Below are 14,089 nucleotides of genomic sequence, written 5' to 3'. Positions count from 1 at the left end.
CTTTTTTTCTTTTTTGAGACGGAGTCTCACTCTGTCGCCCAGGCTGGAGTGCAGTGGCGCAATCTCCACTCACTGCAAACTCCGCCTCCCAGGTTCACGCCATCCTCCTGCCTCAGCCTCCCGAGTAGCTGAGACTACAGATGCGCGCCACCACGACCGGCTAATTTTTTTGTATTTTTAGTAGAGACAGGGTTTCACCGTGTTAGCCAGGATGGTGTTGATCTCCTGACCTTGTGATCCACCTGCCTCAGCCTCCCAAAGTGCTGGGATTACAGGCATGAGCCACCGCGCCTGGCCAGCAAATCATTCTTAATTACCCCAGAGTGGAAGAGAACAAAGGTGAAGACAAGAGCCCAGGTTCAGGATCTGCTTCTTTGGGGTCATGACAGAGGCGAGGGAAGGAGTGAATCTGGATCAGCAGTGGGTGCTCCCTGCTCCCTCCTCCCCAGTAGCCTCTAGGCCAGCTGCTGGTCCAACTCCAAAATCCACCACCCCTCAGCCACCCAGCCCTCCCAGGAGAAGCTGAAGTCCTTTCCTGTGTGTGTGAGCGCCAAGCTGGAGCCCAAGGATGACATGGAGGAGGCGCTTGGGGGGGTCCCCCAAGTCTCCATGCTGCTCGTCAACATCAGAGAGATCCTTTGTAGCAGAAAATGGAGTCGCAGGGTGTGGGTGCAAGACTCAGCCTGACTTAATGGGGGTCCCAGGGCATCACACTCAGGTGCAGCACAGAGGCGGGAGCCAGAAGGTGACCAGGGTGGCTTGGCTCGGTGGCCTGGGACCCCTCAGTGCAGTGTCCCTGATGACATGGGAGAGGTAGGTCAGGAACATGGTCCCAGGACAGCAGGTGCTGGCTTGCCTGACCTCCACGTTGCCCCTGTAGATACAAGAAGTCTGTCTTCCCGGACCAACTGGCTGGTGCTGTAACAAAGAGCCATGTGATGCTGGGGGCAGAGACAGAGAAGAAACTGTTCAGTGCCCCTTGTCCATCAATGAGAGAGCAGCTGGAGCAGCAGGTGGACAGGGAGCGGGAGGGGCAGGGGCAGGGGCAGGGGCTGGGGGCCTTGCCAGGCTCCTCTCTAGGAGAGGCTCTATTGAACCCCTTATGCCACCACAGCTGTGCAGGGTGCACATGAGGTCTCGCTAGCTGCTCCTGCAGGTCCCTGTCACCTCTCACATGTCCCTACCTAATCCCGTGTGTCCCGGAGAACTACTTCTACACGCCAGACCTGGGCCAAGTCCCCAAGGTCGATGTGCCATCCTACCTGACCTGCCTGGCAGACCTCAAGTATGGTGCCAGCCTGGGCCCCAGCATCACCCACTGCCCTGGCACCAGGCTCAAGTCTCTCAAGCCCAGTGAGCTGTGTGTTAGGATGGCAGCCAGGCTCCCTACTCAGTCACCTCCTTCCCTAGGCACCCCACACTTTCTCCCATTTCCACTTCCGACCTATAAGATGGCATGTTAACAGCACCCCAACCTCCCCAAGCTGCTGCGGTGCTGGTCAGTGCACCCTCATCCCCACCCCAGGCCCCGCCCACTGCAGTCCAAGGTGCCGGGCAGGATGACAGCAGCAGCATCCCCTTCAGGAGGGAGCCACTCTCTGAGGCCACCTCAGTCTCATTTCTGGATCCCTGGCAGATTTTCTGTGGGGTTGTTAGCTGGTCAGAAATCCCTTATTTCTTTTTAATAGTTGTCATTTCTTGTTCTACTTGGCTCATAAAATAGTGGTTTTCAAACTGTAGCGCCCTGGAATTCTCACCTCTACGGTAGAGGGAGCCTGGACAAGGGTGGCCCTGGGGCCCCCATTCCTAAACCAAGGAGGAAAAAGGGTCTAATAACAAAAACACTACAGGGGACAGGAACACGGAGCCGGGGGTCCAATGTGACTGAACCCCACACCCCACTCCGTGGCTTTCCTATTGCAGTGAGAGCCGTAAGCCAAGGCAGGGAACTGATGTGGGATCTCTTCAACAAGCTGGTCCTGAGACGCAAGGGTAGGAGGCAGGGCCGCTGTCTGCCATGGGCTGTGGCATCGTTAATTCTCTCTTGTCTTTTTCTTCCTGTGTTTAAGTCTCTGGGGCCTGGGGAAACCAGTGCTCCCCACAGACCTCCCTCACTCAGCCTTTGCCCTCCAGCCTTTTCACCTCTGGGGCTGGTGAGGGGCCGGGAGGAGAGAGCCCGTATGTCAGACAACAAACCGTGTCTGCTAACCCCCAGCAGCCACAGGCAGAGGAAGAAGAGGACAACTGGAAATCCTAGCGGGCGCCGCCATGCCTTCCTCCCCTAAACCCAGACTCCAGCCATGGCCCGGACGTGGACACAGCCAGAATGGGATCCTCAGCCCTGCTGCCCTGGAGGAAGGGGCAGGGATGGAACTGTCCCAGTTCTGTGTGGAGACCACCTTCGGGGAGCGGGAGGCTGGCTTCAGGCCACGCAGCTGGGGTGGGGGCTTCCATCTGCCTGTGCTCCATCGGAGGATGGCTCCACCCAGCCCCTGCACCAGTGCGCTCCTCGATTCCCTAAAGAGGCTTCCAGAGAAAACAGCAGCACATATCAATAAAAAACTCAGCAGAAACCAACAGTACACTTTTAATTAAGGACCTGTAGCTGTGCAGGATGCAAACAGCTGGGCATCAGTGACTTTCCTCCTGCCCCCGGTTTGTCCCTGATGGTGGCAGAAGATCCCAGCTGACCACGGCCCCTTTCTCTGGGGTCAGAGGGAGAAGACAGGCGCAGTCAGCAGGGGCAGCTGTTGCAGGTGGGAGGGTTATTTTCCCACAGGAACAAAGGTCTCCATGATGATACGGGGTCTCTATAGTCATGTTGAGAGCCTAATGGCCCTTGGCATAATTGCTGGTGTCGGGGTAGAAGGTGTCTTGGAGTTTGCTCAAGTGGTTGAGAGGGAGGGAGGTGCCATAGACTTGGAGGAACTGGCACGAAGCCAAGGATACAAATCCAGGCAGGGCTGTGGGGCAGGATAGAGAGCAGGGCCTTCTACTGAAGGAGTGACTCAGGAAGGAGGAGGGGAAGGTGACAAGCCCCTGGGCAGGAGCCCTGTGGCCACGGGATCATTTTAAATTGAGACCAGAGAGTGAGCAGTCCAGGGCAGCTATAACCTTGGCTAGAAAGGGCAGAGGCAGATGGACCTGCTCCATCTCGCCTCTTAAGGTGGGCAGGACGGAGATGCCACAGTGGATGCCACTGCTGCCACAGCCTCCTGCGGACTCCAAGCAGGAAGCCTGGCTCTCAGCCATGCAGGATGGAAAGAAAGATTCTATTCCAGGAGGGGAGCTGCCCTGGAACGCCCCAAGGACAGCCAGGACCCACTGTTCATTCAGGATTCCCGCATTTTCTCCTACGGGAGCTAACGCCTGTGCCTGGGTCCCGGCAGCGCTCTGGACTCCACACTCTCCTCCTGGGTTTCACCTTTGTAACAGGATCCCTGCAGACCACGCCCACGACAAACACTGTCTCCAGAGGGCAGGACAAAGGAAGGGCACGGCGCCGGGCGGTGGTGTGGTTGCCCATCAGGAAGAGGCCGACTTCTCCCGGTGAAACTGGGCAGACAGAAGGCAGTGAGAAATGTGATCTCGGGGTTGGGAGGCTCTCAGAAAGAAAAAGGTAGGACTGACCTTCTGCACAGCAGCAATGGCGGGGCCAAAGGTAGCTTTGACCTCCACACTGGCTCGGATCCAGGCCGGCAGCTTGGCCAGGACAGGGGGCCGGGCGTATCGCTGGTCCAGGAGCACTATGCTGGCAAAATCCTTCTGGTGCCTGATGGCCCTGCCTGCATAGGAACAGAGGCTGGGGCTCCGAGCAACACCTGCCTCCCCTACAGCACATTCCCATGGCGACCCCCTCCCCTTCCTCAGACTTATATAGGAAACAGGGCAGGCAACCCCTCTTTCCTGTTCTCCCCTTCTCCAGCCCCCATCTGTCCACCCAGCTGGAGGCAGCCAGGCTCACCTATGGACTGGTTGACGGCCTTCATGCACAGGTTCTCCACCAGAGCCTTCCCTGGGGGTGCCTGGCCGGGGGCTCTGGGCTGGGAGTGAAGGGGATGACCCATCAGGACTGTTCCCTGCCTGCAGCTCCCCCGGGGAAAAGACCCTGCCAGGCTTTGGAGCCAGACCAGGAGGCTTTGTGGCCAATGCCAGCAGCAGGGGTCCAGGTGACATCACAGGGAAGATCAAGAGGGTGTGGAGGGGCATCCAAGCTTCCGGAGGGGGCAGGAGACACCAGCGCAGTGGGGAAGGCCTGGCTGTATCAGCCCTGGGGGTGATGCCACTCCCACCCACTGCCTACTCTGTCACCCTCTGTGACACTGGGGTCACTCACGAGGGTTTGATCCAAGTAGGCCATCTTCTCCTGCAGCTCTGCAGACCTGATGTTGGGGAAGGGCATGCCCACCATCACCACACACGTGGGGGGGAGACAAGAGCCCAGTGGGTGGACGTCAGGAACTCCCGGGTCATCACCCATGTCACCAGCTGCTCCGTTCTACCCCTTCCGTCAGCCCTCTCCGACTGTGATCAAAACTCAGCCTCTCTCCACTCTGTACCTACCACCTGGAGAGGGCTTGTAAGGCTGAGAGATCCCGTCTAGGCCAATTGATTGGGTCCTGATACAGCAATGGCCAGCCTAAAATCCAACTACTCTCTCAGGGCCAAACCCAGAGCTGCTGAGCCCCTCCCTCCAGCTGGCTGGTCTGAGCAGTCGCAGCCCAGCTGTGGGCTCTAATGGCAGCAGACAGCAGGCAGGGGCCCAGCTGCTGGGAGTGAGGGCCGGCCATGTATCACGACCCAGGAGATGAGCAGAACCACTACTTACCGGCCTAGGTTGTCAGAGAAGTTGATCCCTTCACTCATCTTTCCTCCAACCACAGAGAGGAGCAGGGCCTCTGTCACCTGGCCTCTCTCCTGGCCACAGGCCTGTAGGAGAAACCCAGACGCTGAGTTGCTGAGCCAAAACTTGGATGACACCCACGTTTCCAGCTGCCACCCCCACATGGTCTCAGACCCAAGCTCAGCATGACGCCCGCACCTGGATGCACCTGGAATACGCCAGCAGCACCTGCTCCACCTGGTGTGCGCTCTTAGGTTCCTGGAATATCTGAGAAAGACAGAGGACATTTCCCAGAGACAGGTTTAGGGTGCCAGGTCTCGGGTCTGCTCGTGGCCTTGTGTTTTCTGGCCAGCGGACTGGAGAACCTCACAGCCAGGGACTTTGGGGAAATCCTCTGTAGTCAGGGACTGGGAGCAGTGGGGATGAGGAGCCAGAAGCCTGTCCCGACCCGATGAGCACAAGAGCTCCCAGGAGGACTCAGTGGCACTGTCCTCACAAGTGGCAAGGCTGCCGACAGGCCACTCACCTTCTTCCTGGCAGCCAGACGGCCCAGCAGGCCACCCTTCTCCCAGTGGGCATGGACCTGGCGCAGGTACTCGTAGGAGGAGAAGAAACAGACCACCCCTCCAGAAACCACACCGCACAGGTTACAGAGGATGCGACCCACCTCGTCCATCTAAGGAAGGAAGGGAGGGAGGGAGCCCCCATGGAGCAACCCCTCAGCCACCCACAAACCGCGTCTTCACCTTGAGACTCAAAACTGAGGAGAGACCCTTGGCAGGACTACAGCCAAGGAAGAGGACTTGGCTCCCCTGGGTGGGAACCACGGGGTGGTAGGTGCCACCTCCCACCAAACACACCCAGCCGCTGCTGCTGACTGCGCCTTTCTGACACATGTCACAGCACTAGCGTCCCTGGGGGGCCTCCCTATTGCCCTGGCACTGAGTCCTCCCTTCTTCTGTCCAGGGTCCTGATGGGCACCACAATGACAATCAGGGGCTGCACACCCCAGGCACACCACAGGAGATGCCCCCAAGCCCCACATCCCTGCCCCCAGCAGGGGCAGATATAACCAAAGGGCAAGAGAGCCAAAGGGAACTAGCAGCTTTCTCCTGCGTGAGGCGTCCTCAGAAGATGCCTGGAGGTTTTATGAATACATATTTCGCAGCCTAAGGTGTGAGAGGCGGGGAAGCTCAGACCTTCCTCCATAAGCATCTAGATCGACGCCGCTCATTCTGTGTGGCTCTAAGTGGGTGTCCCTGTGCAATTTCCCCAACACCTGAAAACACTCAGGGTGGGCCAGAGCGTCCCTGCCCCAGAAAACCCTTTGCTGCCTGAGGCCAGGCTGTGGTGCAGCGAGCTGGCTGGGACTGACCATCTGAGGCAGGTCTCTTTTCTGGAAGGTGAATTCCAGCGGCTGGTTGGAGATCCCGCTGCAGATGACAAGGGGCAGATGTTGTCTGGAGGGATCACGTGACCTGGTAAGATCAGGGAGGGGCCGAAAACTGGAGATGCAGGTGTGCTGTAAGACACTGCAGAGAGGGCATTTACCTGCCCCATCATCCAGCACAGGAACAGCGACTGACAGCGCTCACCCACCCACCATCGCCAGTCACACTGGGCAGCAGGCAGCAGGGAGCAAAGCAGGAGAGCCTGGGCGAGCGCACGAAGGGTGAGGCTCCCATCCCGGGGTCTCCTCCGCCTCTGTGCCTGGTCACGGTATGAGGTATTACCCACAGAAAACGGGGGCCAGAACCTGACCTCTAGCCTGCCCCACCCTGGGCACAGCTTCTCACCACAGGAAAACTCCACCACGCGCTCAGCTTCCACCCCAGCACAGGCCAGCAGCTGCTGCCGGAAGTCAGACACCTGTAGACCAAGGCCACGGCGTCATGGCCCCATGACCCCTCAGAGGCCCAGCAGAAAGGAAGCGAGAAGTCTGGCCTAAGAGACAGCAAGTACACACAAACTGAAAGAAGAGGTCAAAGAAAAGGCTGACGGCAAACTAACAAAAAGAAAAATGGTGACTGATACCCAGTGCTGGCAGTCTCGTTTAAACTATGTGCAGGAATAGCAAAGGAAATCCAGCAAATCTGGCACAGTCATTATCAACCCTGGCCATGCAGCAAAATCACCAGCGAAAATTTTCAAAAATACACGTGGCCAGGCCCCAGCCCAAACTACTGAATAACAATCTCCAGGCTTTCACCTGCTAGACTGGCAAAAATCCAAAAGTAACCACTCTGGAGAAACAGGCATTCCTAGACAGTACTGGTGGGATACAGAATGGTACAATTCTCATGAAATTTCACAGTAGTTAACAAATTAAACATATTTATACTTTTTAACCCAGGAATCCCATATTTAGGAGTCCAGTGAGAAGATACAGCCCACAAATACCAAACAGCATGTGCCCCCGGACCTTTCCCTGTAATCATGCGCCTGCCTATCCAGAGGGTACTGGTTGGATAAGCTTCCTACATCTGTCCAACAGAGAACCACGCAGCCCACTAGAGGAGCGATGGCCAGACAACTGACTAAGATGCCTTCCGTGTAAATAAAACAGGAAAGGGAAAAAAGAAGGCACGTTTTTGCTTATTTAGGGGAAAAAGAAAGACTGAAAGGATAAGCTAGTAAAACGGATTCCCTATGGGGGTGGGGAATGGGCTGGAAAGGGATGAGAGTGAGGCTTTCCTGAATAGATCTTTTTATATTGCTTTGACTTTTGAGCCATACAAATATTTACATATTTAAAAACTACAAGTCAGAAAAGAAGAAAGCAAATTCTAAAATTGAAAAGAAAATGAAACAAAAACAGCCTAGCTATCTATGAAACTGACAACAGAAGCACACGGAGAGAAGCCTGGTTCCACGTGACTTTAGAGCCTAGTGACCAGGCATCCTTAGTGGGTTACACTCTAAGGGCAAAGAGGAAAGGCAATTTCAATCAGATCTATTGTTAGAAGTAATATTGGTACTATGATTTCAAAACTTTTAAGTATATTATAGGATAGAGCAGATAAGTATGTTAATGTAGCACACATGTTCAGGCTTAAGAGAAAAAGAGGTACAATAAAAGGTCAAGTAAACAAATCCTTTGATTTTTACTTAGAAACACCAATATGGGCCAGGCGTGGTGGCTCATGCCTGTAATCCCAGCTCTTTGGGATGCCAAGGCTGGCGGATCAACTGAATTCAAGACCAGCCTGGCCAACATGGTAAAACCCTATCTCTACTAAAATACAAAAATTAGCTGGGTGTGGTGGCACATGCCTGTAATCACAGCTACTCAGGAGGTTGAGGCATGAGAATCGCTTGAACCCCGGAGGCAGAGGTTGCAGAGAGCCGTGATCGGGTCACTGCGCTCCAGCCTGGGAGACAGAGCGAGACTGTGTCTCAAAAAAAAAAAAAAAAAGAAAGAAAGAAAGAAATACCAGTATGGATTCACTCTGAAAACATTTCCTAGATCTGTCTACCAAAATGCCCCAGGAGCACGACAAACACCCTAGCACCCACAGCTTGACTTCTAAATGTCATTCCCCATTACAAGAAACCAGAGCAGCTTGGAGAAATGAATCAATCCAGTGTGCGGCAAGGACACCCATGGTGATCCCATGACATTCTGCTGTGCTGGAGGCGAGACTGACCGGGCCACGGGGAGGACCTGAGCTAGCAGGAAGGGGCTCTCACCATGTGAACGTCAGAAACAATAATGACTGTAAACAACTTTTAATATGCCGAATGAATAAAACTATGAATCTATCCATACAAAAATATAAAAATCAAAAGCTAAGGCAGCTGGGGCTGGGAAGCACTGCTTCAGGATTCCCAGCAGCTTTTTGTCCAGGAGGCCCTTTGCTAGGTAGGAGTCACCACTGTGCGGAAATGCGGTTATATTCATCACAGTCATGCTCAAAACAGAAAACTACAAATAGCTTGCACACCTAACAAAAGAGAAGGAGGTACATGAAATGCTGTATATCTGGGTAACTGGAATCCAGCACAGCTGGGATACTGAAATACGTGCATGCTTGCTGACAAGGAGACAGGGTTTATGACCCTCTGGCTGCTGAGTGAAAAGAGCAAGTTCCAGTGACAGCACATGGAGGGAGCCGCACTTTTGTTTTTAAAATAGCTATGCACATAAGTAAAAATTATGCCTACAAAGACTATTATATTCATATACATCAAAATGAACCTTTTAAAAGTGGAATCATGATTTTTTTCCTTGAGTTTGAAACCACAGAACAGCTTTCTCTGGGAGAAGTGTGATCCTGGGGCTACAGAATGGAGCAGCAGAGGAGTCTGCACTGCTCCTGCAGCCTAAAAGGCACAGCAGTGAGAGAATAGCAGTGTCACCCAGTGGACACCACTGGGCCTGCTCGAGCTGACCCTTTCTGGCTTGGGGCCCCAGGAGAGAACAGGACTGATAATGCATCTCTCCCAAGTCCCCATCTCATCCCAACACCTGGGGCACGAGGGGCTGGGAAAGGTGTCCTTACCGGCTGCATGGTCCCCCCCGCAATGACCACTGCCCGGCATTCCTTCACCACTTGGGCAAAGTGCACAGCTGGATTCAGGAGCAAAAACTTCAGGGTGCTCTCACTGAGGCTGCCTGGAAAAACAGATCGGTGGGAGGTGAGTGCAAGCCCAACAGACACTTCTATCGTCCCAGCAAAGGGGGTCCCCCAGGTGAGTCCAGGTCTGAGGCACAAGTGCTAGTGCTTTCTCTTTAAATTAAACACCATTTAATCTCTAGGACAACCAGCCCACAGAGGTGGACCATACTGTCCTCTCCATCTCTCTCTTTTTTTTTTTTTTGAGAGGAGTCTCGATCTGTTGCCCAGGCTGGAGTGCAGTGGCTCAATCTCGGCTCCCTGCAACCTCCGCCTCCTGGGTTCAAGCAATTTTCCTGCCTCAGCCTCCCGAGTAGCTGGGACTACAGGCACCCACCACCACACCCTGCTAATTTTTTGTATTTTTAGTAGAGACGGGGTTTCACTGTGTTAGCCAGGATGGTTCTCGATCTCCTGACCTCACGATCCGCCCCCCTCAGCCTCCCAAAGTGCTGGGATTACAGGCGTGAGCCACCGCGCCCGGCCTATCCTCTCCATTTTCATATGAGGAAACTGAAGTTGAGAAAGAAAATAGTCCAAATCACAAGGCTCATAGATGACAAAATCATGACCCAAACCAAAGCCCACCTACCCCACAATACAAGTTTCCCTAGGACCCCTGCCCTAGAGGACCTCCATCCCAGCCCCTCGATCTCCTCCCGTCCACCTCCACTGCTTGCCCAGGTCACAGCAGGCCAGTGCCCACTGCACTGCTTCCTCCTAACCCAGGAAGTTCCCAGGATGGAAGGAAAGAATCCTTTCATGCTGCGGCTCCCGGGCTCAGCTTGGCTCCTTCCTGGGAACTGAACCTGGCCAAGAACCACCTGATTACCTTGGCGGCTCAGGATGACCCTGCCGTCCTGGTTGGCCGTAGTGAGAGCTGCCAGGAAGCCTTCGATGTGCATTAGTGGGGAAGCTGGTTGCGGGACGCTGGCCTGACTCTCGTCTGCAGGGGCTGCAAGAGCTGCACAGAGCAGAATGGGGAGGAGGCCTCCCTCTAGTCAGGTCCACACATGAGGAACAGAAGTCCTTGCCCATGCCTGCAGCCGGCTCTGCCTGCTCACCCTCCTGCCTCACCTTCAGTCGTCCTGGGCTGCAGGCTCTGCAGGAATTGCTGAAACCCAGCCAGTTTGGGCTGCTCCCGGGATGAGAACACTGCTCCGTACCGTTCAGTGAAGCCAAAGAGCTGGGTGGGATGAGAGAGAGCAGTGGAGAGGAACGAGGAACAGCCATGAGAGAGAGGCTGGGTGGATCGGAGGCTCTGCCAGGCTCAAGACACCTGAAGCGCACATCCCACCACCCCAGCAAGGCCCACTGCACCAAGGAGGGTGGAGACGAAGGGGACTCTGGAGTTCCCTGAGGGCAGGGGAGGAAAGCATGGCAACGGCAGGGGGTTGGGGCACAGCTGGGTCTTGTTCAGGACCACAAGATGGGAGCAGTTACCTTTCTGCTGATCATGCTCTTCTCACAGTATCGCTGCACCTGCAAAAACCAAGCCCAGCTGTAGGCATGTGTGCAAACTGAGCAAGCTGTAATCTTAAACACAAAACAAAAAACACCACTTCTACCACCCAGGCAGCACAACGCAGTGCTACCTTCTGAGGCACCTGGAGCCTCCTTGCCACCAACCTTGTCATCCCCTCTCCGAGGCCACCCCCTCCTCTACTGCCCCTGCCCACAACGCAGTGTCCTCCTCAGGGGGGAGACCCTCTTTCCAAATGTCTCTCCCAAGTCTAAGAGTGCCCAGTAAAATCTAGGTCCCCTTGGCTTTCCTTCCAGGTGACAGAGAGTTAAAACAAAGGAACTTCTATGAGCAAAGCCACAGAGGAGATGATGGCTGGGACCTGCTCAGGGGCTGGGGCAGTGCCACTCAGTCGGTGCATCCAATGTGTGTGGTTTGGTGCCACATCTTAGCTTGGGATGCAGAGATGAGGAGTTTGGAGGCTTTAAACCGGTTTCTAAAAAGAGCGACGTCCTTCGATGAGGATTCCCTCAATGGTGGGTGATGAGACCCGAGACCCATGGGAAGAAGGGAGAAGGAAAGCAAGGAGGGCAAAGGGAAGGCGAGAGAAGGAGTGCCTGCACCCATGTCCCAGCTGTGGGAGAAGCGCGGGGACGGCAGGACTGTCTGAGGCTGTCAGGCCTGGCGGCTGTCACAGGCATGTGGGAGACAAGGGGAGAAAGGCATCAAGGATGACGTGGATCCAGCCTGTCTGGCAGGGATGGTGGCAGTGACAGTGACCCAAATGTGTAATTCAGGGGAAAAGCTGGTTTTAAGAAAAAAAAGGCAGGCACGATGGGAAGAATGTGGGGCCCCAAGTCAGTGCAGCCAGGTTTGGACGCTGTCTCTGCCACTTGCTATTGGCTCACTTGTGGGAAGCCTGTGCTCGCCACCCTCCTGAAGTCACCTCCATGGGCCTGTTTGCTTTCCTTGCCGGGGCAAAAGGATATCCTAGCTCAGAGCACAGCACGTGGCATGCCGCCTAGAACAGAGGCAGAACCCTGTACCCAGGGGCAGTCACTGTTGCTGATTTGAGTTACGAGCTGGGGGTTCAGGCGGCAGTGGCCGTGTTTCATCTGGGGAGCGCTGGGTACACAGACCTGGAGCGAGCAGAGGTCTGAGGCTGCAACCACACCCAAGGCCCAAGTGCGAAGACGTGACAGGGGTTGCACAGAACAAATCAACGTCCTATTCCTGTCCATAAGCCTGAGGGAGACTGTGCCAGAAGATGGGGTGAGACAGCAAGGACCTGGAGTCTCTATCTGTTCTATGGGGCACCAAGAAAGGTCCCTTTCTCACCCATCCCTCATCCCTGTGGCCTTCACTCTAAAAGATGATGACTTTTGTCTCACAGGCGTGTTGCGTTAAGGGTTAAGTAATTACACGTCTGTTTTGCTTTTTCTTCCTTCTATAGTCTTAACATAGTACTCTACCCACAGGTGGTGACAGGAAGGAAACTGGATGTGGAACATGGCAAGGTGGAAACCTCTACCTTGAACAGGTTGATGTTGTCGATCTGGCTCTGGAAGAGAAAGTCGTTGATGGTCTTCAGCTCCGTCCCTGAGAACAAACACATGAAGGGCCTTGGGAGCTTCACCCTAAGCCTCAGGTTTCAGTCCCAGGGTTAAGCTCGGAAGTGGCTCAGATCAGCTCTGGGCCCTCTGAGGGCAACTCTCTTACCTGTCTGTGACAGACTCTGTGTATTGGGATTTTGCTTAATGTTCCCTAAAAAAGAGAATGGAAATAGGTCACAATGGTGGTTCTCAGGCCCCCCAACCCTTCCCTATCTTCTCTCCCTCCACACTGCACATCAAGTAAGAAGAGCATCTGTATTTGAACGGCTTTGTTTTGCTTTTCACTGTTTATAGCATGCAACGGACCCACTTAGAGGGCAGGTGGGTCCAGGAGCCTCCCACGTCTGACTCACGTGCTTGCACGTGGAACCCAAAGCCCTGTAAGTTCATGTTTTTCACCCCTTCTCCAGGAGGCCGGGACACAGCAGCCAGACCAAGGTATGCAGGGCACCGGAGCACAGAGGAGCTGCCCAGGCCACTGGTGAGCCTGAGGCAAAGCAGAGCTGGCGGCTCAGAGCAGCAACACGAGACCAGCTCCCGCCAGGAGCTCCCACAGGCTTTCTGCAGCTTCCACTTCCACAGACACCTTCCAGCAAGGGGGTGCCCCATCATAAAAGAAGGGGACGTGACAGGGTCACGCAAAGAGGCGTGGGAGCTGGAGTCAGAAGATCCCAGGCTCCCGTGCTGGGAGCAGCCCTTGCTCCGAGCTCTAGTTTATGCGTCTATCAACAAGGATTCAAATACCAGCACTGCGTTCTCACAGGGCACACAAAACCGCATATGCAAGTGCTTCGAACAACCCACAGAACTATGCCTATCACGGAAACACCGTGTGTCCATGTGATGCTGTATCCTTAATATCCCCCCAGAGCAGCGCCTGAAATAAAAAGTCCTCAGAACATGGGCAAAGAACCCATGGGTCTAAAAAAAGCTCAAGTCAGACAACTCAACTAAGCTACAAAGAACAAGAATTTTCTAAATCAATGACCAAGACCCTTCTTTTTTTTTGGTTCTTTTTTTTTTTTTTGAGACTGACTCTCACTCTGTCGCCCAGACTGGACTGCAGTGGCACAATCTCGGCTCACTGCAACCTCCGCCTCCCGGGTTTGAGCAAGCAATTCTCTTGTCTCAGCTTCTGGAGCAGCTGGGACTACAGGCCACGGCAACACTCCCAGCTAATTTTTTTGTATTTTTAGTAGAGATGGGATTTCATCATGTTGACCAGGCTGGTCTCAAAACTCCTGACCTCAGGTGAACCACCTGCCTCGGCCTCCCAAGGGCTGGGATTACAGGTGTGAGCCACCACACCCGGCCGACCCTTCTTAAAAACACAGAGAACTGAGGCGTCCTGATGGGCATCCAAGGAAAAAGCAGCCCGGTGGGTTTTGCAGGCCGGGGGTTAGCCGGGGGGCGAGGCTCTCACCCCCTAGCACAGCCACGAATTTCTCCAGCAAATACAGGATCTGCTTCAGGTACATCAGGTTCTTGGCCTTCAAACGCTTCCTGAGAAGAAGCCAACGGACATTAAGTGGTGGTGCCCTGATGGCGACTCGCC

At 54.6% G+C, this 14,089-nt stretch overlaps 1 long non-coding RNA gene across 1 annotated transcript in view; it reads right to left on the bottom strand.

The window, feature by feature from the left end:
• Nucleotides 1-2,571: 2,571 nt before the first annotated feature.
• Nucleotides 2,572-14,089, bottom strand: part of LOC642846 (DEAD/H (Asp-Glu-Ala-Asp/His) box polypeptide 11-like) — a 30,432-nt gene continuing 18,914 nt past the window's right edge. The window contains exons 12-22 of the long non-coding RNA NR_024374.1: nt 13,958-14,037; nt 12,641-12,685; nt 12,453-12,520; nt 10,903-10,941; nt 10,537-10,645; nt 10,292-10,423; nt 9,346-9,458; nt 6,640-6,787; nt 6,219-6,321; nt 5,370-5,519; nt 2,572-3,555 (exon numbers count right to left, since the gene is read on the bottom strand). This is a non-coding gene — a long non-coding RNA (DEAD/H (Asp-Glu-Ala-Asp/His) box polypeptide 11-like). The remainder of the gene's footprint in view (nt 3,556-5,369; nt 5,520-6,218; nt 6,322-6,639; nt 6,788-9,345; nt 9,459-10,291; nt 10,424-10,536; nt 10,646-10,902; nt 10,942-12,452; nt 12,521-12,640; nt 12,686-13,957; nt 14,038-14,089) is intronic.

This window comes from Homo sapiens, chromosome 12 (assembly GCF_000001405.40).
Source record: "Homo sapiens chromosome 12, GRCh38.p14 Primary Assembly".
NCBI classification, from domain to species: domain Eukaryota; kingdom Metazoa; phylum Chordata; class Mammalia; order Primates; family Hominidae; genus Homo; species Homo sapiens.
Note: the sequence above shows the minus strand (reverse complement) of the source record. Positions and strands in the feature narration are given on the sequence as shown.